Source organism: Homo sapiens, chromosome 3 (genome assembly GCF_000001405.40).
Source record: "Homo sapiens chromosome 3, GRCh38.p14 Primary Assembly".
Taxonomy (NCBI): Eukaryota; Metazoa; Chordata; class Mammalia; order Primates; family Hominidae; genus Homo; species Homo sapiens.
In genome coordinates, this window is record NC_000003.12 from 188276801 (window position 1) to 188296920 (window position 20120).

At 42.5% G+C, this 20120-nt stretch overlaps 1 protein-coding gene across 56 annotated transcripts in view, besides 2 other annotated features; it reads left to right on the forward strand.

Annotated features, from left to right (window-relative positions):
- Positions 1 to 20120, forward strand: part of LPP (LIM domain containing preferred translocation partner in lipoma) — a 737651-nt gene that overhangs the window by 123780 nt on the left and 593751 nt on the right. The gene's annotated exons all lie outside the window — the stretch shown is intronic.
- Positions 13841 to 14135: an enhancer, noted in NCBI's record as "tiled region #910; HepG2 Activating DNase unmatched - State 5:Enh". NCBI's record gives its function as "activates a minimal TATA promoter and a strong SV40 promoter by Sharpr-MPRA in HepG2 cells {active_cell/tissue: HepG2}" and the evidence as "EXISTENCE:reporter gene assay evidence [ECO:0000049][PMID:27701403]".
- Positions 13841 to 14135: a silencer, noted in NCBI's record as "tiled region #910; K562 Repressive non-DNase unmatched - State 24:Quies". NCBI's record gives its function as "represses a minimal TATA promoter and a strong SV40 promoter by Sharpr-MPRA in K562 cells {active_cell/tissue: K562}" and the evidence as "EXISTENCE:reporter gene assay evidence [ECO:0000049][PMID:27701403]".

The window sequence follows — 20120 nt, forward strand, 5'->3', positions numbered from 1 at the left end:
GAGCCTCCACAGAAGGAGATGCTGCTATGTTTCCTCTATAGCCTGTAGAACTGTGAGCCAATAATTCAACAACTCAACCACTTCTTTTCTTTTCTTTTTTTTTTTTTTTTTTTTTTTTTGGAGAGACAGGTCTTACTCTGATGCCCAGGCTGGAGTATAGTGGCATGATCTTAGCTGACTGCAACCTCTGCTTCCTGGGTTCAAGTGATTCTCCTGCCTCAGGCTCCTGAGTGGCTGGACTTATAGGCACGTACCACCATGCTCAGCTAATTTTTGCATTTTTAGTAGAGATGGGGTTTTGCCCCTTTGGCCAGGCTGGTCTCGAACTCCTGACCTCAAGTGATCCACCCGCCTCCACCTCACAACGTGCTGGGATTACAGGCATGAGCCACCTCACCTGGCCAACCTCTTTTCTTTTAAATTACCCAATCTCGGGTATTTCTTTATAGCAGGGCAAGAATGGTTTAATACAGGGGCCCATCCAGCAGCACTGCATTACCAGGATTCTGCTGAAGAAATGGACGTGGCCCCAAAAGCCATAGCCTGGCTGCCAGGTGCCCCAGAGTATTGTCAACTCAGAGGAACATCTCTCAGGAAATATTCCTTGATTCTCTCTTCTCTATTAGTTTTTTAAATGCTTCTATCCCAGAGGAGGTGCTCAGTAAATTTTAGTTTCTTTCCTTTTCCGGAAAGTCTCATGACTCTTTATCTGAGTTTGACTTAAGAGAACTTACTTAATAATAATTAATAATAAAGAATAAAACCTGCTAATAATAAGATTTAATAGAACTTTCTGTTTAATTCCATGGTTATTATACCCATTTCTTAATCTCTCTAAGAGACATGGACTGTGTTAAAGTGTGTTTATGAACTGGTGGTCGAGGGTGCATTTCCCTCCTAAGAAAACTCATTCCTTGTTATGGGATAAGGTTCTTGGAGCTACATTTAACACTCAGTCCTAGACTTCAGTGGCTCAAATGCCGAGACATGACCTCCATATTGACCACACGGTTGATCATGCTGACCACAGATTTCTGCTAAAGCTTGAGGTGCCTGACCATCCCTGGCTATTGTCATTCGCCCTAAACTAGCTGTTTGGGAATGGGGCCAGTGATGACCCTTTAGTAGAGATAAGGCAGAGCTTGTGGAGGAAAAATCATTTATTCTCCATTCCCATGATTTAGCCCTCTAACTTCATGCATTTCTTTTTGCCCTTTTTCTTGTGCTGGATTTTAGCCCCCAGCCTCTCTTTCGATCATGATAATTTGCATTTATTACACACGTACTATGTTCCAGGCACTGGGTAAATTGCTTTCTATTGTTCATTTCATTTAATCCTCAAAGCCAGCCTATGCAGTAGATACTAGTGATCCATATTGGATGGATGAGGTATGGATGGATTAGAAAGGTTTATGTAGCTTACCCAATGTGGCACAACTTGTAATGGCAGGGTCAGACTTAGAAACTAAATCTCTCCAATACTAGCTTTTGATTTTATTTTTACCCTACTCACCCCTGATATTCGTCCCCTGGCCTTTTCTGCTTACCTGGCTTGGAGCAAGTCCTCATCTGCCAAAGACTATGTAGGTGGTTGGAAGGAGTGCTCTGTCCTCACCTCTTCCTCCCATGGCACCTGCAGCCAGAGACCTGCTGTGTGTGCTATATACTCTTCTGACCTCTCTGATTCTGAATCGACTCTCAAGGCTGAATTGGCTGACATGCATCTTCTAGTGGATTCATTGTTTTTCATGGTTTACTTGGTTTATGACAAGCTAGGGACAGCTTGACATTTGCTTTCCCGTCAGTGGTCTGGGGACGTGCACAGAGCTGCTTGTTTCAGATCTCCTCTCGGTGTTTCTCTACACTTAGTGAAGACTATATAACCATGGCTCTATTATAATACAATACGTTATAATAAGATCTAGGGGCATTCTCGAGAACTTGGGAGCAATCTAAGAAAGGAGAGTGAGGTTGGAGAGAGGCGTGTCCTTTGCATCTTCTGGTAGATGATGGTGGAGGCTGTGTAATAACACGCCAAAGCCTAGCCCACTTGAAAGCATCACGCTCTCCAGGGAACTGCCTCAGCCTGGGGCACTTATATTATCCATGCTTAGCATTTTTGTATTACTTTACATTTGTGAACTGCTTTCCCATGATTTATTAGCTGTTCTTGTTTTTAATAGCCCCTGGAGGTACATTGATATTCAGGCTTCTGAGAATGTAAATGCACAGGGAACGTTCATCTCATCAGATATTTTTGGATCTGGGTTCAGGACTCTGACCTCCTGGGATGAGGCCATTTGGGGTCACTGCCTCCCATGGATTAGTAGGAGATCAAGTGGACTTAACTTCAGCTCCTAAAGTCTCCAAGGCACAGCCATGGAATGACTGCAGCTATTTAAGGAAATGGCGTAGAAGCCATTATCCAAAGAGCTGGATTCCAGTCCTGACTCTGCTGCTGACCAGCTTCACTGGCCTTGAGTAGTTGCTTTGCCTACCTATGCCTCAGACTCACCCTCTATAAAACAAAGGTAACCTCTCAAGTCCCTTTAGACCCCCCATTGTATTAAATATAATTCTGTGACTTTGGACTCCTTCTCTGGAACCCCTTGGGTAGCCAATGAATTATATGACAGGGAACATGGGTATAGATATAACCCATTAGGGGACTTGAATTGAGAAGGTGCTCACCTTCCTTTCTCTAGGATTCAAGGACCAACTGACAATGATATGCTTTCAGATTCATTTTAAGAAGCACACAATCCTCATTCACTATAAAAGTAAGATAGCGAGTGGAGCTGTTAGAGGAAAGTCAGACTGGAGCCAAGACCATCATTTCTGTATCTTCTGGGTGTTGTAGAAAGTAATTAGCAGGCTTGATTATCTCACTGGTTCAACACACATTTTAGGGATGTGATGTAATGTGAGGAAACATTTAGTTGTCAGATTTTAGGGCTGTATCAAATTTATTCTTGCAGGAAAAGTCTAGTTGTCCTGGCAACCTAAAATTGATTTCTTTTTGCTCTTGTCAGCTGAAACTGGTCCCCTTTGAATCATTCCTCTAATTTAATATAGAGAGCTGTGTGTCTCCACCTGGTGACCGAATCATTTTTAATGACAGGTAACTCCAGCAAATGGCTCCTCTTTCCTACCTGAGCCAGAAGCTATAGTTTATTACTACCTTCACCCTGTGTTGTTCTCTTTGTGTTTATTTATTTGTCTGTGGAGTGAGGTGTGTAAGTAAAGTGGCATTCAATTAATTAAGAGTTTAATCAGGCCTGTAGAGCAGTGATGTAATTGGCAGCCAATCACTGCCTTTCGTTTTCAGTGACCTCCTAGACATGAGTGGGATTCGAATGGGCTCTGGAAGAGGGAGTCCTTTTGTGTGGATGTCTAGCATTTTTGTAACCCGAAGAGGGTGATGTAATGGCCCAGATGAAAGGAGAAAGCGGAGCTGCATGGCTGCTTTCTGCCTCTGTCAGTCATCTCTATCAAGGGGGTGGGTCATCTATGAAGGGTGGAATCGACATCATTAGGAAGAAATTGATGCCTATGACAATTGAAGAGGTTGTGAGAGAGCAATTTGCTTTCCTTAAATGGTTGCAAATTTCATGGACCACGAATGCCGCATCTCAGGATACAGAAGAGAACTTCTGATGGGGAACGGCTACCAGTAATTTTGAGGAAACCCAGAAATCAGCAGAAATGCCAGAAAGTGAGGAGACGAGGAAATAGGTATTATCAAAAAAGTCCAGTGCCCATCCCCCACCCCGCCCCCAAACGAAACAGGTATCCAGAGTCTAGAATCTGCTGATTTCATTGTGATTCCAGTTGTCGACGGTCCTATGTAGACAGGTGATTTGTGAGTCTTTGAAAGGAAGTAGTGTTCACCAAGAGCCAGAACAGGGTCTTAACCAGTTCCCGTTTTGTCTGGGTTAACCAACTGGTGGATTAACACGATGACACAGACATAGTGGGGAGAATGTGGGCTTTGGAGTTGGATTGTCTGGATTTAAATCCAGAGTCCAGGTCATTGTATACAAATGACCTTAGGCCAGTTGTTTAATTTTTGTGACTCAGCTTCTTCTTCATGTCAGTTCTATCCTGGGGCTAATGATAGGACGACAAAGGAATTTTTTTTTTTTTTTTTTTAAGAGGGAATCTTGCTGTGTTGCCCAGGCTGGAGTGCAATGGTGCAATATCTGCTCACTGCAACCTCTGCCTCCTGGGCTCAAGCGATTCTCCTGCCTCAGCCTCCCAAGTAGCTGAGATTACAGGCGACAAAGGAATTTTTGAAGACAAAATGAAATAATGCATGTGAAGAGCTTAAAACAATTTGCACATATGAATTATTTAATAAATGTGGTTCTTACTACTGTTTGTAGGAAGACATTTGAATTTAGTAAAGCACATAAAAGCCTTTTACATATGTATGGATAAGTCCGTAAACAAATACACACTTATTAGTGATGCGGGTTTAGAAAGAGTATATTTCTTGGTGGCAGAAGTTCCAAAGTCAGGCCAGGCATAGTGGCTCACACCTGTAATCCCAGCATTTTGGGAGGCTGAGGCAGATGGATCACTTGAGGTCAGGAGTTTGAGAACAGCCTGGCCAACATAGCGAAACCCCGTCTCTACTAAAAATACAGAAATATTAGCCAAGCATGATGGTTCGTGCCTGTAATCCCAGCTACTTGGGAGGCTGAGGCAGGAGAATCGCTTGAACCCAGGAGGCGGAGGTTTCAGTGAACTGAGATCACCCCACTGCACTCCAGTCTGGGCAACAGAGGAAGACTCTACCAAAAAAAAAAAAAAAAAAAAAGCTCCAAAGTCATATTGCAAGGATGAGGACATAGGTAGGGAAGGGGAAAATTTGTGACCATTTTTGCAACTTTCCAAACTCCTTTCTCCTCCCCCATCTTTCTTTCTTCCAAGAAGTTACCGTCATTAGCAATTTGCCATGTGTCTAGTTTTTGTCTCACATTTATATACCTGTAAATATATGTTTATTTTTTGCTTTAAAAACCTCAACAGTTATTTGTATAAAATTTAAATTCTTTGTTCTTTCATGAAATATCATGACTACAAACATTGAAATAGTTACTCCGAATTGCAGTCACATGTTTTACTTGTATATAATCATTCTTATAGGCAGAGGGATAACTGTAACCTTTTCCCTTCTCCTTCTCACCTTGCCCTTTGGGAGACGTTTCTTCCCTTTTTTTGTGTCTTTCTACCTTGTCCTTCTCCTCCCCTCCTCTCTTTTCCCTTCCCTTATATTCTGTTTTCTTACCGTTCGTCTCCTTTTCTCTCTCCTTCCCTCCCTCCCTCCCTTGCAATACTTTCCTACCTTTCATACTTTCTTTATTATATTTTTAGTCTCTTGTCTTTAGCTTAATATGGGGCTCAGTGGCCAGGCGTTTACATAATATTGTGGGTCCTTGAAACATCAGGTCTTGGACACCTAGTCTCAGCTCTGAATTGTCAGGTTCCTGCTGATATACTTTCTGGGTCCACTGTTGCTTTGTATTTAATACTGGAGGTTGTGATAACATTGTCCAGCTTCAGGAGGCCATGGTAGCGCAGGAGGGATGCATGTGTTGTGTAGTTCCTTGTCTGGAATGCAGGGTGACAGGAGGTTGGCTTGTGTACACATGTTCATCTCCTTGGGCTACTGGAGAGGGAGTCTTTATTTTGGTGGGGTGCTCCTAAGAGCAGTGAGCTCAGAGCCTCTGTCTTGAGACTTGCTGTGTGTTTTCTTGGCCTCCCAATGCTCCTGGCATAAGTGACATCCCTGCTTAGGACCCTACACTCATGATTTCAGGCAACCTTTCTGCCTTCCTTTTGGCCCCTGCCTCTCCACCCCATGTTCATATTCTTCATCCCAGGTGCAGTGCCACCCTGCTGGCTACCTCTGCCAGGCAGCATCCTTCATGCTTAGCTCAAATTCCACCTTCTCAGAAACATCTGACTTCACATTTGGTGTCAGTCTCTCTCCTCCTCCATTTCCCATCACACAGTTTGTACTTTCAGAGATACTTTCATACACCACCTTGTATTCAATGGGTGGTATCTGTTTCTGAGTTCTGATCAGAGGGCAGACATCTCTGATCCTTTGGAGGCTAGCTCAGTAGCTGGCATTTATAGGCACTCTGTAACTGTTAAATTGAATTACTGAGGAGGCCTGAGGGGTTGGAAGGTCAAATGCAGTTAACCCAGGGAACTAGAAGGGCCCCTGGGAACTTGGTTTTGGAGCATGGCTTTTATGAGCAGCTATCAGCTTTTCCCCAGGCTCCTTCTTAATCCTGTCTCTCTAGAGGCACAAGGAGAGGTGGTGTTTGCTTAAGATGCTGGTGGCATTCCTAGTGAAGTTAGGTCAGAATGTGCCATCTCTTCTTTAGCTCTCAACTTCTTAGAGTGTCAACCCTCCTCATATTGGAAAAGCTTAGCTTTTAAAAAGGAGAAAGTGGTTTACATGATGACCTCTGAATTTTTGACTTTGATTATTAATCTTCTTGAAGAAGACTTTGCAGTTGCCCCTGTTACAAGGAAAGCAGACATGCCAAGTTGCTGCATTTGTGAAATTGAATGAAATTCTGGCTGCGTTTTATGGCTCTGACCTTTGGGAACAGTCCAGGGTCAGACTGCTCACATGATGTGCTTGATAAATCCGCCTCCCAACAGCACTGTTGAGATCTTAACTAGAATTGCTACTTGCGAAACACCTTTTTCTGACTTGCAGTTCAGATTCTGCATGTACTGCTGACTACTGCTTCTAGTGGCTCATTCAGATAAGTATGCTATATATTAGGTAGAAAGAGGATGCGTGATACTAAGGAAAGAGAAAAAGAGCCAGCCCAGGACACTTGGGTTCCAGTGCTAAGTCTGCAAGAGACATGTTTGACATGGGGCCTTAGTTTTCAGATCTATAAAATGGAGACACTAATCATTATTAGGAAGGGTTGTCAGGAGTTCGAGACTAGCCTGACCAACACGGTGAAAGCCCATCTCTACTAAAATACAAAAATTAGCCAGGCGTGGTGGTACATGCCTGTAATCCCAGCTACTCAGGAGGCTGAGGCAGGAGAATCGCTTGAACCCAGGAGGTGGAGGTTGCAGTGAGCCGAGATTGCGCCACGGCACTCCAGCCTGGGTGACAGAGCGAGACTCCATCTCAAAAAAAATAATAAAAATAAATTAATAAAACAAAAAGAGCTCCTCCTATGAAAGCTCTGGAAACATCCTCCACCAAACTGGTTGCACTTCTCTAGGCACAATATGGTTTATATCCTTCTAAAATCAGCATCTCGGCCGGACGCAGTGGCTCACGCCTGTAATCCCAGCACTTTGAGAGGCCAAGGTGGGCAAATCACCTGACCTCAGGTGATCCGCCTGCCTCGGCCTCCCAAAGTTGTTGAGATTATAGGTGTGAGCCACTGTGTCTGGCCAGGAGGAGCTCTTACAGAGCTGGAAGTATTTACTCAGAGAAAGATGGAGTTAGAAGGGAAGGTTGAGAATGAGAGACAAGTTAGTGTTTATTCAAGGTGGAGGTGCACAGGCCTAATGTAGGACAACGGCAAGTGGGTTGGAGAAGAGGGGCTTACGGGAAGGATGGGCAGGAGAAATGGGATGGGACCCAGGAGGCCCAAGGGGGAGGTGGAGGATTCAAGTCAGAGCTTCAGATGCTGGGTCTGGAGACACTTTCTGAATGCCTAGGAGGTAGCTGTGGTGTTTTGCAGGATAAGAAAGACAGAGGCTTTCTGTAGCTACCATCCTGCTAGGTGAAATGAAGGGATGGTCTGGGATGTGTGTGTATGTGTGTATGTGTACCCACATACGTGCATGTGTGCATGAGTGTGTATTGGTAACAGAACCAAGGAGATCAGGGACTTACCCAAGGCCATACAGCTGGGAAACAGCTTTCATTTGATTACGGTGCTAAGTTTAGTAATGACTGCGAGAGACAAAAACGGGCAGGGGGAGCATGTAGGGAAAGGGCCTCGGCCCCATTTCCTGCCCTCTCAGGCAGGTAGTGAGTAGGAGTTTTAGGTTTCACTGTTTGATAGCATCACCTCCTCTGCTTTCCCAGAAATTATTCCTCGAAGTATGACTCGAATCATTCCTCTGTTGGGAGATGTATCGGTTCAGAGCTGACTTTCTGCTCTGGTTGTTTACTGAAAAATGGTAGCACTGGCAATTCAGAGGGGGCATAAGCAAGTGAAGAAAAAAAAAATGAACAAACAGGGCATGTGAGGTCAGGGGCCCTGGTTGTGAGTCCCGGCCCTGCTTTTAGAGACCCATGTGAATTGGGCAGATCAATCAACTTCTTAGTGCCTCAGCTTTTTCCTCTGTAAATTAGAAGATAGTGATTTCTGCTTGATAAATTTATTGTGATAGTGCTTTGCAAGTTGTATTGTTGGTCGTAGGATAATAAAGATAAAGGGGTATACAGACTTGGATTCTGTTTCTATATATGTGAAGCGTTAGAGAGAGGTGGTAAATTGTTTCTCTCCCGTGGGTTGTGCACATCTCTGATATTATGGTAATCCCCATATCTTCTCCTTTTGCAGGGTGGGGTGTCTTGGATAGTATGGTTACTGAATGTAGAATCTACTAACTCCTCTTTTTTATTTCCTGAGACTGGGTCTCACTGTGCTGTCCAGGGTGGAGTGCAGTGGTGTGATCATGGCTCACTGCAGTCTTGAACTCCTGGGCTCAATCCTGAGTAGCTGGGATTACAGGTATGTGCCATCATGCCAGCTAATTAGAAAAGTTTTTCTTTGTTGAGATGGGGTCTCACTATGTTGCCTAGGCTGGCTTTGAATTCCTAAGCTCAAGTGGTCAGCCTGACTCGACCTCCCAAAGTGCTGGGATTACAGGCATGAGCCACTGTTTCTGGCCTCCTTTTTAATATTCTGCCCTGTGCAAAGCACCAGCACCAACAGCCTCCCTCCCACAACCCCCAACAGCTGTGCATTAAGTATCACTTTGGTTTGAGGATTTCCTAGCTTGCTGTTTATCCTGGGAGAATTTCTGAGTTTCTTGGTCTTTGTTTCTTTACCCAAAAGTTGGGGATAGTTCAGCTTTGTCTGCATTGTGGACACTACCTCCAGAAAGCAATGGGAAGACCCTTTGTAAGCTGTACCGAACTCTTTGTATTTTTGGAGCACATTTTGTCTTTTTTCTCCCTTCTTCTGGTGGCTGAGGTACCTCTTTGGTCTTGAAAAGACCCACTTATATGGAGGCGGAAATGGGCTTATAGAGGGAAGTGACTTTCCAAGGGCCCTGGAATGAATTGGATTCTGAGATCTGTGCCCGTCCTTGTCACAACGTGTCAGATTCCATTATTTAGTGTGGGCCTGATTTGTCCATGCCTGGGACTTTCCCAGAGGAAGTCATACTTTCTGGAAACTCTCTGAGGTCTTGAAGGGGTGGGAGAAGTCTCTGACACAAGTGCTGCTGTGGTCATGGAGGCTTCCATTCCTCTCTCCTTGTGTTGAGCAGGGAATTGCTCCTTGGATATTTTAGGTTTGAGTGACTCAACATGCTTATGACCCAGAGGATGCTGTGGTGTGTTTGGCAGCATGCTGGAATTAGTCAGAAGGCAAAACTGCTTGTCCTGACCCCAGAACCCACTTACTCTAGGTGGATGAGAAAGTCCTCTCGGATCCTCTATTTCCTAATTCATGGCAACTTCTGGAGAACAGTATTTTCTCTGTTACTGCTTTATGGGGTTTAGTGTGGAAATTAAAGAAGAGAACTTCTTATTTTTTGTAAATAATAATACAATATTCAGATACTGTTAGTTTCTGAAATTTAAAATGGGCATCTCACTTCTGTGTTCCCTCCCCAAATAAATGTATTGATACTAAAAAGGAAAGCCAGCTAACTTTATGAGGATGGCTGGTAAATGAGCCATTCTGTTTTTGCTTGCTGTCCAAGGCCTCTAATATTAAGCCTGGACCATTTCAAGCATATATGGAGGATATATATTTCAAATATACATTAGGGGTATATATTTCAAAATCGAGGACACATTAATAGTAAGAGGAGACCATGTAAGACAAAGCACAGGTTTATTTTTATTTTTATTTACCTGTTTATTTTTTATATTTTTGAGATGGGATTTCTCTCTTGTTGCCCAGGCTGGAGTGCGATGGTGCTGTCTTGGCTCACTGCAACCTCCTCCTCCCAGCTTCAAGCAATTCTCCTGTCTCAGCCTCCCAAGTAGCTGGGATTACAGGCACCCATCACCACACCTGGCTAATTTTTGTATTTTTCTTAGAGATGGGGTTTCACCATGTTGGCCAGCCTGGTCTCAAACTCCTGACCTCAAGTGATCCCCCCACCTCGGCTTCCCGAAGTGCTGGGATTACAGGCGTGAGCCACTGCGCCTGGCCAAAGCACAAGTTTAAAAATTACAAGTTTCCACCAGCCTCATATCTCCCTTGGCTTATAATATTCAAGTGTTCATGGATACTGGGGCTTGCCATCCCCCGCCCCGTGTGTTAATGCAGCCCATGGAGGCTTCTCATAGAGACATAAACAGTGGGCTCCAGAAGGTCTCTATTTAAGAAACTGAGGTCTGGCAAGGTCACACATCGAGGAAATGGCAAAATCAAGACTAAAAGCCAGCTCTTTGGATTCTCAATTCCCTGCTCTTTCTGACACTTCACTCTTCCCTCCTGTCAGGTGAAGAGAGAAGCCAGATGGTTTGACAAATGGTTCTCGTTGCTGTCAAATCTGCCTTCTTTCTTTGCTCAGACAGACAGTTCTTACCTTCCCTTTTTCGGGGGACTGGCGGAGGTGGGGTGAGGAGAGAGGTAGGAAGGTGGATGAAGGAAAAAAAGAAGCATTTTATTGCTTCATTCTTTATGTAGTAGTGATGGCCAATAAGTTCTTTTTTTCTCTGGCAAGAAGCTAAGTAAAGGCAAGGAGTAATCGTCACCTTGAATTTAGAGCACATAGAGGCCTAGAAATGGCAGGCTGTATTAGGAGACAACATTGATTTCATATATATTCATCTCTGAAAAAACATGTTTAAGATGCCATATTCATAAATACTAATAAGGCTGTCTGATTCCAATTTTCAGGTGAGATTAGCATTTTATTGAGTATTTTATCTGTCAGATTCAATGCTGGATGTACCATCCTCCCAGGCTTATTAGCATAATTGCTGTGCTTAAGCAACAATAAAAAAATCAGCAGTAAAATAGCATTTAGTGCAGGCAATTTGTTATCAAAAGCTTTTACTTAAGGACAGCTCCAGCCTGCATTTATTAGCAAGTTAGGGTTATAATTTATTTTTATTTTGAAAAACAAAAGTGGGAGAAAGATTTGGCTTTTTTGTTTTGGAAATAATAGAGAAATTAGAAAGCATTGCCTCTTTGGAAAATTGTCCACATCCCTTCTTCCTTTGCCGAAAGCAGGCTGTGATGGGAATAGATTCCACTTGTGAGCGACATTGGCTCAGACAAAAAGTTGCTCTCCTTGGCATTGGAACAAACGGGTAGTAACGTCCCTTTATGCTTGTACACACATTTCCAAAACACTTTCAGATCTCGTTTGTTGCTCAAACCTCACACCAGTCCCGTGAGGTCTCCATTCTTAGAAATAGAAAACCAAGTTGAAATGACTTGTTCCAGATGAGGCAGTTGAGTGGCAAAGTGGAGGTGTAAAAACTAGTCTTCCAGCCTCCAGTCCTGTCTCAGCATTGCTCCCCTTCACGTCGTTGTCCAGAGCTCCTGGTGGAGCCTTGGCCTTTTCCATATGTACACGTGCACACACACACACATACACACAGATCTGTGTATCTACACCTGTCTATACACATACGTGCACACCTATGCACACACATCTATGCATACATACATACTTTTTCTTTTCCTAAAAGTTAATTATGTACTCTTGCATTTGTTTTTCATTTGATGTCCGGGTTGAAATACTTCTGCCACATGAACTTCTCTTGATGCCAAATAGCCTCTTAAAATCAATCTCTCTCTCTCTCTCCACCCCCCACCCCCCACCCCCACCCCCCCGCCCCTCTAGCTAGCAACTGTATCAGGAAAGCACTTGTGATTACCATCTGTTAAGGACCTGGAACAAAATAAATGATGTTATAAGTTTTTGTAGGGAAGATAGAGATAAGATTTTAAAATATGGAGATTGGGAAATCATTTTTCTTCCTTATTTCTTAGGAAATGTATCAGAAATAAATAACATTAAATTGATGCCTTTTAGTGGGTTTTAGGCTTCAATTATGGGTAATAATTTTCAAATTGAGAATAAAGTTTTGAGTGAAAATGGACAACTGAAGCTTCTAAGCTTTGAGAGGAGTTATTTTAGCATTTTAGATTTTCTTTTCTCAGTAAATTCAAACAAAGATCATACAATCATTGAATCATAGCACGTCTAAAATCCAAGGCTCTGTGCTGGCCACTGTGTGTTTTACAGACTAGCTCAGACGTGGCTATGAGCCCCAAGACATGTTTAAACTATTAGAGAGGATACTAACGATACATTAATAATGTTCTTGGTTTTGACAGAATATTCTAGAACAGGAACTCTAGTAGGATTTTTGCTTATGTTACATCATTGAAATTTAAATTCACTCAATTATTTATTGACTAAATATTGAGCACTTATGTGATGTTCACTCTTGTATTTTACATACATCATCTCATGTAATTTTTTAACAATCATATGAAATATGATCTGAGATAATAGTCAGTACTGTTATTATTGTTCTCATCATTAGATGAGGAAATTGAGACTAAGTAACTTGTCCAAGTCATTCAGCTGGTAAGTGGTAGAACTGCTGTGGTCTCCCTGTAAACACATGTTTTTTTCATGGTACCACTTGGCAAAAAACGAATAAGCAGGTACATACGTAGACAGATAGTGCTAATGATGATTAGAGAACCTCAGAACTCATGCAGAACCTGGATGTTTAGAGAGAAAATGGAACTTGAAATCAGACAGGTGTTCAAACCCTACTATGCTTCTTAGTGTTTGTAAAATCCTCAATTTAAGGACCTCTTAGGATTTCGGTGTCTTCCTGTGAATAAAGGATTATAAAATCTTTCTCTCAATATCATAATGAGAATAAATTACAAAATGTATGTGAGTGTCTGCAAAGGTACCTAGTTCATGGTGGGAGTTCACCCTATCTTGGAAGTGCTCATAAACATGCAGGGTTTTTTTTTTGAGACGGAGTCTTACCCTATCGCCCAGGATGGAGTGCAGTGGCGCAACCTTGGCCTCCCGGGTTCAAGTGATTCTCCTTCCTCAGCCTCCCGAGTAGCTGGGACTATAGGCGCATGCCACCATGCCCGACTAATTTATTTTGTATTTTTAATAGAGACGAGGTTTCACCATGTTGGCCAAGCTGGTCTCGATCTCCTGACTTCAAGTGGTCTGACTGCCTTAGCCTCCCAAAGTGCTGGGATTACAGACGTGAGCCACCATGCCCGGTTCAACATGCAGTTTTGTGTACTGTTTAGGGACAGATGCCGAAGCCACATTGCTTGGGTTTGGATCCATCCTACCACATAATATCATGTGACCTTGGACAAACAACTTCACTTCTAGTGCTGTACTTTCTTCATCTATAAAATGGGCTTACATCATAGGGTCCTTGTGAGGATTAACAAAGTTAGAATGCGTAGAGCATGTAGAACAATGCTTGGCACACAGCATGCCGTGCTTCAGTGGTAGCACTTACTATTCCATTATACTACAGCCACCGAGAAGGACAGGTACACAGTGAATAGTTTAGGACTGTTCATGTTCCCGGCCTCTTCACTCCAAGAGCATCAGCAAGTTTAGTTTAGAACATAGGAGTTGTATTTACACAGCTACTAATGACCTTGGAAAAGTTCTTGGCTTCTCTGTCCTTGACCTTTGTTTATCTGAACGAGTAAACTTCAGATGACAGAGTGTGTGGGGAATGGAATGCATCCGCATCCTTGATAAGCTGCCCTAGTGGAATGTTGCCATGTGGCTACTGAGGGTCAATTCACTGGTCAAAGGTGGCCTGCTGGTTGGTATTTTTTCTGTGTCTTCCGGGCAAGTTCTGTCTTTCCTCAGTCTGCACATGCCTGGGTCTGTCCTCAGAGCTCTCTCCCATTTCCCTCTTCTCTAGAAAGCATTGATATAATGGGGCCACCTCTTCCTTGGACTGTTTCTGTAGCATCAGAAGGAGGTGGGTGGGAATTTGGCATACCACTTTTTGAAAGGTAATACATTCTAACATATGTATTTCACCCACCTTCAAAGAGTAAGAATACACTGAATGATACTTAATTTTAAAGATGTGTTGCTGAGGTGAACTCTAAGACGAACAATTCTTCAGAATCTTTTACTTTCTTGGGCTTCTTGTCCCAAACAACAATTATCTTTATAAAGCCTGTGTGTGTATGTGTGCGTGTGTGTTTGTGAAACTTCCTGGAATTGGTAGTGTTGATTTTGAGATGTTTCTTTGGCTTATTCAAAATATAAACAGAAAGGCTAAAGTGTTTTTCATGTCATTAAGAATGTCTTTATAAGAAAGGACATTGGCCGGGCGTGGTGGCTCTCGCCTGTAATCCCAGCACTTTGGCAGGCCCAGGCGGGTGGATCACGAGGTCAGGAGATCGAGACCATCCTGGCTAACACGGTGAAACCCCATCTCTACTAAAAATAGAAAGAAAAAAAAATTAGCCGGGCATGGTGGTGGGCGCCTGTAGTCCCAGCTACTCGGGAGGCTGAGGCAGGATAATGGTGTGAACCCAGGAGGCGGAGCTTGCAGTGAGCTGAGATCATGCCACTGCACTCCAGCCTGGGCGACAGAGCGAGACTCTGTCTCAAAAAAAAAAAAAAAAAAAGAGAAAGGACATTAAGATGATACCTTACCTTGTGTGGGGGGCTTGTAGCTTTCAAAACACTTAAGTACCCATTTTCTTATGTGTGCTTTATGACATCTCTATGATGTAGGCAAGGCAGGGTTTATCATTATTTCCCTTTTAGAAATGGTGGATCTGTGGTTCAGAGAAGTGAAATAAGTTTTCTTAAAGCAGTTCTGGATGCAAACCCAGAACATTTGACTCTAGGGTGCTTTCTGCTCCACCACCCTGATTTGATTGTAAGGAGGTAATTCTTACCAAGTACTGTCAGATTATATAGAGTTGTAATATATCTTAAAAATGCCCATTTTAATTTTCTTTAAACAGATCAGTTAAAAAGTTAACTGTGATTTGATACCATCTTGTTTCTCCCCAAGTTTAAACAGCAATGAGTCTCTAGGACCTTCGGTTAAACCAGCATGTGTTTTTCAAAAATCAAATGTCAAAGCATTTCGTGAACCTTGCTTTAATGAACAAGAGAAGTGAAGGTACAATTCCTTTTTTGCATGAGGTAATTAGGAAACAGGATGTGCAAACTTGCTATATGAATTTAAAGAGGAGCACTTCTACTGATGTACAAACTGGATGGGCATATTACAGAGGGTTTCATGCTGGTAGAAATTTTAAGTGAAATAAGTTCTCATTAAGCATATCAATTATTTTTGGACTGTGTGAAAACTTAATCTGTTTCATGAGTTGGATCTAAGGTGGTCAATACCTCTACACTCCAAAAAACAGAAGCATGACTCAAACATCTAGTTCTGATTGCAGAGTGCCTTTATCTGGAAGACTGGACATGTCGTCAGAATATAGAGCAAGAGGGATGGAATATGCTCTTAAGTTTCCTGATGACTTAAGGGTCTGCACTATACTTGCTTGGGAGGTGGGAAGGATTGAATTCTCTTTGGAAAATGCCTTTGAATCTCTTACACACATGGTACCCAATAAGCCTAGTGCTGTATTATTAGCATCATGTACTAGAGTATGGTTTACCTGACATAGGTTTTGGAAATCTATTTCTTTTATTTACACTACATGGTTTCTTAGGTGGCAATTCTCAGTGAATTACCAGCTTCCTGATAGTGTCTTGAAAAGCATGCTTTATAAGGAGGCAGAAAGTGTTTCTCTTTTGACAGATGACCTCCTTGACCCCTTGACTTTCCATTTTTGATGGTTTCTTTTGAGGTCTACGTCATCTGGTAATTTTATTGGTGTGATTTATGCCCCCAGTAAGGATCAACTTGTATAGATTCTACATTCTCATGGAAGTCTATGTACTGTCTCTACTGTGTAATAATTAGCTCCAACTCTACAAACAAGGTTAGAAATGAAATCACCAGCATTACAAGTGAGACATAACAAATGGAAGATTCCCTTCTCTGAGTTTCTCTCATACCGTTAATTTTATTTGAGCTGGCATTGACTCATTCTATATGTCTCTTCTGCTAGATTTTGAACTCTGGAGGACTGGTCTCATATCTTATTAATTATAATGGTGGCGCACAGCACATTATAGGTATTTATTACTAAGTGGTTGGGTTTAATATCTTAAGAAGCAGAAAATGTGGTTTTTCTTGAGAGAGAGATGGTTTTGGATGTTGTTCCTCTAGTATATTCTAAGCCTGCCCGCCTGGGGCTCTGTAACTATGGCTCCTAACGTGGGGAGCCCACAATCTAGCTATATCATGTTAGCGAGAGCTCTTTGTATACTGAAACAATAAACTTACCATCTTGATGAGTTTTACATGTAGAATGGCTTAGGTTATAAGGTACTGCCACCTCATTCCACTGTTGAGAATTGTCTAATGCAAAGCTCACTTTTTAAACATGGATAATTGGACAGTCATGAGTGGATCATCGAAGGGATAAGCAAAATATATGTCAAACTGAGAATTAATATCTATCAAAACACTTGCTATTATTTGGTAGATGGGAGGTTATTTTATTTTTAAGAAGTAGATTGGCTGAATGGAAAAGCAAAATGTGGCATAAAATAAAATGGGATATTGTTCAGCAGTGAAAGGAATAAAGTACTGATATGGACTACAACATGGATGAACCTTGAAAACATTATGGCAAAGTGAAAGAAGCCAGTTACAAGGCCGGGCACCATGGCTCATGCTTGTAATCTCAGCACTTTGGGAGACCGAGGTGGGTGAATCACTTGAGGTCAGGAGTTCGAGACCAGTCTGGACAACATGGTGAAACCCCCGTCTCTACTAAAAATACAAAAATCAGTTGGGCGTAGTAGTGTGTGCCTGTAATCCCAGCTACTCAGGATGGTGAGGCAGGAGAATGGCTTGAACCCGGGAGGTGGAGGTTGCAGTGAGCCGAGATCTGCCCTCCAGCCTGGGTGACAGAGCCAAACTCTGTCAAAAAAAAAAAAAAAAAAAAAAAAAAAGCCAGTTATGAAAGACCACATATTATATGATTCCATTTATGTGAAAAGCCCACAATAGGCAAATCTATAGAGTCTGTAGCGATAGAAAGTAGTGGTTGCCGGCAGGGTTGGGGTAGAGGATAGGTAGTGATTGCTAATAACTGTGAGTTTCTTTTTGGGATGCTGAAAATGCTCTTTATATGGTGGTGATGATTGCACAACACTGTGAAATACTAAAAACAGAACCGTAAACTTTAAATGGGTGAATTGTATGTAAATTATATCTCAATAAACCTGTTTTAAAAAGTGGATTTCCCTTTAATCTATTCTCTGAGGATTGCTTCAGGGATTCAAAATAGTGCATAGTGCCAAGTTTTAAACTCATATTGATTTGTTTTTGGTAAATAAGTCATGCATGCTTAACAATGGTGAACACACTTAAGGAAAAAGTGGTAACACAACTAGAGCCACCAAACCGAAGCAAGTATATTTCCACCTAACTTCATGCACGTTTTTTTCTCAGAAGCTTTAAAAATTTATACTTTCTCAAATGTTGATTAATGAGATATCTGATAAGAAATAACAGGGTACTGACAGTCCTGATTGTATAAATAGGCATTAGGGATTGTGTTCATGGTTTGCTTGTCAGCACAAGAGAAATGTGTGATTATGTTGAATGATAGTTAATTTTCTTATCCACCCATTTTAAAAATAAAGATGTACAGCTAGAAAACAGGTGCCCAGGGAATAGAGGAGACCTGCAGCTTTGATAATGAGCCCCAGAAAGAAACTAGAAGGAACAAGCTCCCGCTTAGGAGGTGCCGTTCGAGTCCTGGCCAGTGTCTGACTGTAGCTGATGGGTTTAGAGAACTGTGGCTGGCTTCTCACAAAGGATTTTTTCATTTACTCTTGTTTTGTGTTTGAGTATAGACAGCTTTTCCCATCCTCCATCAGGGTCATTGTCCCACCTTCTCTGACTCACTTATTGTGTCAACAGAATTAAAAGAGCAGCCGGTGGACGTGTGTAGAGGCTGAAGGAGAGCTGTGTTGCTAGCTTTGTATTTGAACGGTTCGTACACAAACAGTTCTCTTTGATTAAGTATCCGGTGAAACCAATTCACATGAACTCCAATTAAACTTTAATGAACAAGTGGGTGTATTAATATCAGCTGAGTAATGCAGGCAGCACAGATTCCAGTAAGTGACTCACTTCTCTGAGCAGCTCATTCCCCATGCACGGTTAGAGTTACTAGAAAGCTTCCAGCTATATTTGAGTGGATCTGGTCTGGGCCTTGTAATTCTAACAATCCTCAGGGCTCGCTATTCATCTAGTGACAAAACCACAGTCATCCAGACCTCTGTTTTCAGAGCAAAGATTGGGGATGAAGAGTTTTGTTCACATTGAGCAATTAGGCCCTTCGTTGAGCAGTGACCATTTGGACTTTTATTTTCCTCATCTTCCCATTTTTGTTTTTTTGTTATTTTATTTTTTAGAGACAGGGTCTCACTCTGTAGCCCAGGCTGGAGTGCAGTGGTGTGATCACAGCTCACTGCAGCCTCAGCCTCTTGGGCTCAAGCAATCCTCCCGCCTCAGCCTCCCGAGTAACCTGGAACAACAGGCATGCACCACTGTGCCCACCTACAAAATTTCTGTAGAGATGGGGTCTTGCTATGTCGCCCAGCTTGGTGTTGAACTCCTGAGCTGAAGTGAGCCTCAGCCTCCCAAAGCGCTTGGATTATAGATATGAGCCCCGTGCCCAGCCTTTATTTTGTTTTTAAGTGAGAATTATTTTTTTCTTAAACCCAGGGGCAGTGTAGGTGAAGGTTAAGGCAGTGAAGATAGAACAGTCAGTTTTGAAATGCACATAGCCTTCCTGAGCCTCACTTTCACCACATCTGCCAGTCTGCCTCAAGTCTTTAAGTTTCCCTACACCAGAGGCAGCAAGGTGTGCCTGGAATGATGAATTCCTTTGAGCACAGACCCTGTTCCATCTAGAGACTGATGACTGTACCTATTTCCTAGGAAAGGTTAAGCAAGATCGTGAATATAATGCTCTTCGTTTCATGCCGGCACATAATAAGTTCCCACTAAATGTTTAACTTGGTCCACTGGGGGAAGGATGAGAAGGAGGATTTGGAGATAAATGAGACTTGGCCCTTGACAATTCAGGAGCTTGGAGTCTTATAGAGATTTGACTTAAAAATGTCTGTGTAACTCCAGAGTGATAAAGACAAAAATGCTTGAAAAAGATAAGTGAGGATTCGGGGGATGGAGGAATCCCAGAGGTTGGCCCCGTCTGAGAAGGCTGGAGGTTAGGGTAGGAAGAGGTAAGGGTTTGGGAAGGTAGTTCTAGGCTGACTGAAGAGTGTGAGCAAAAGCAGAGGCAGGGATGTATCCAGGTATCAGATAGTGCACATTTAGTGTGGTTACAGTAGGTGATAATTTAGGAGGCTGATTGAAACTGAATTTAGCCTCTGCCTTAGTCACCAAGTCCTTTCCCAGCTCCACTTGCTGTTCTCTCTCTCATTCTCTCCTACCTATATTGAAACCAGTTGAAAATAATGGAGTCACACAGAGGCAGATGGCAATAATGTCCAGGTTGTGGAACATTAGCTCATTGGGCTTGCTAATGCAGCACCCATGAATGAAATTTACCCTCTTCCTCTCAGATAGCTCCTGCACTCAATAACTCCCATTTAGGGCACACTGTGCATAAAGCTCCCAACCATGAAGAGCAGGGAGGATCTGCCTCTAACAGTCAGGTAACTCACAAAGACTGGAAGGAAGTGACTGGGTTACACATGGCCAGTTTCTTCTCCAAACTCAATAATTGGGTAACTCTCTGCCTCCTCATCTG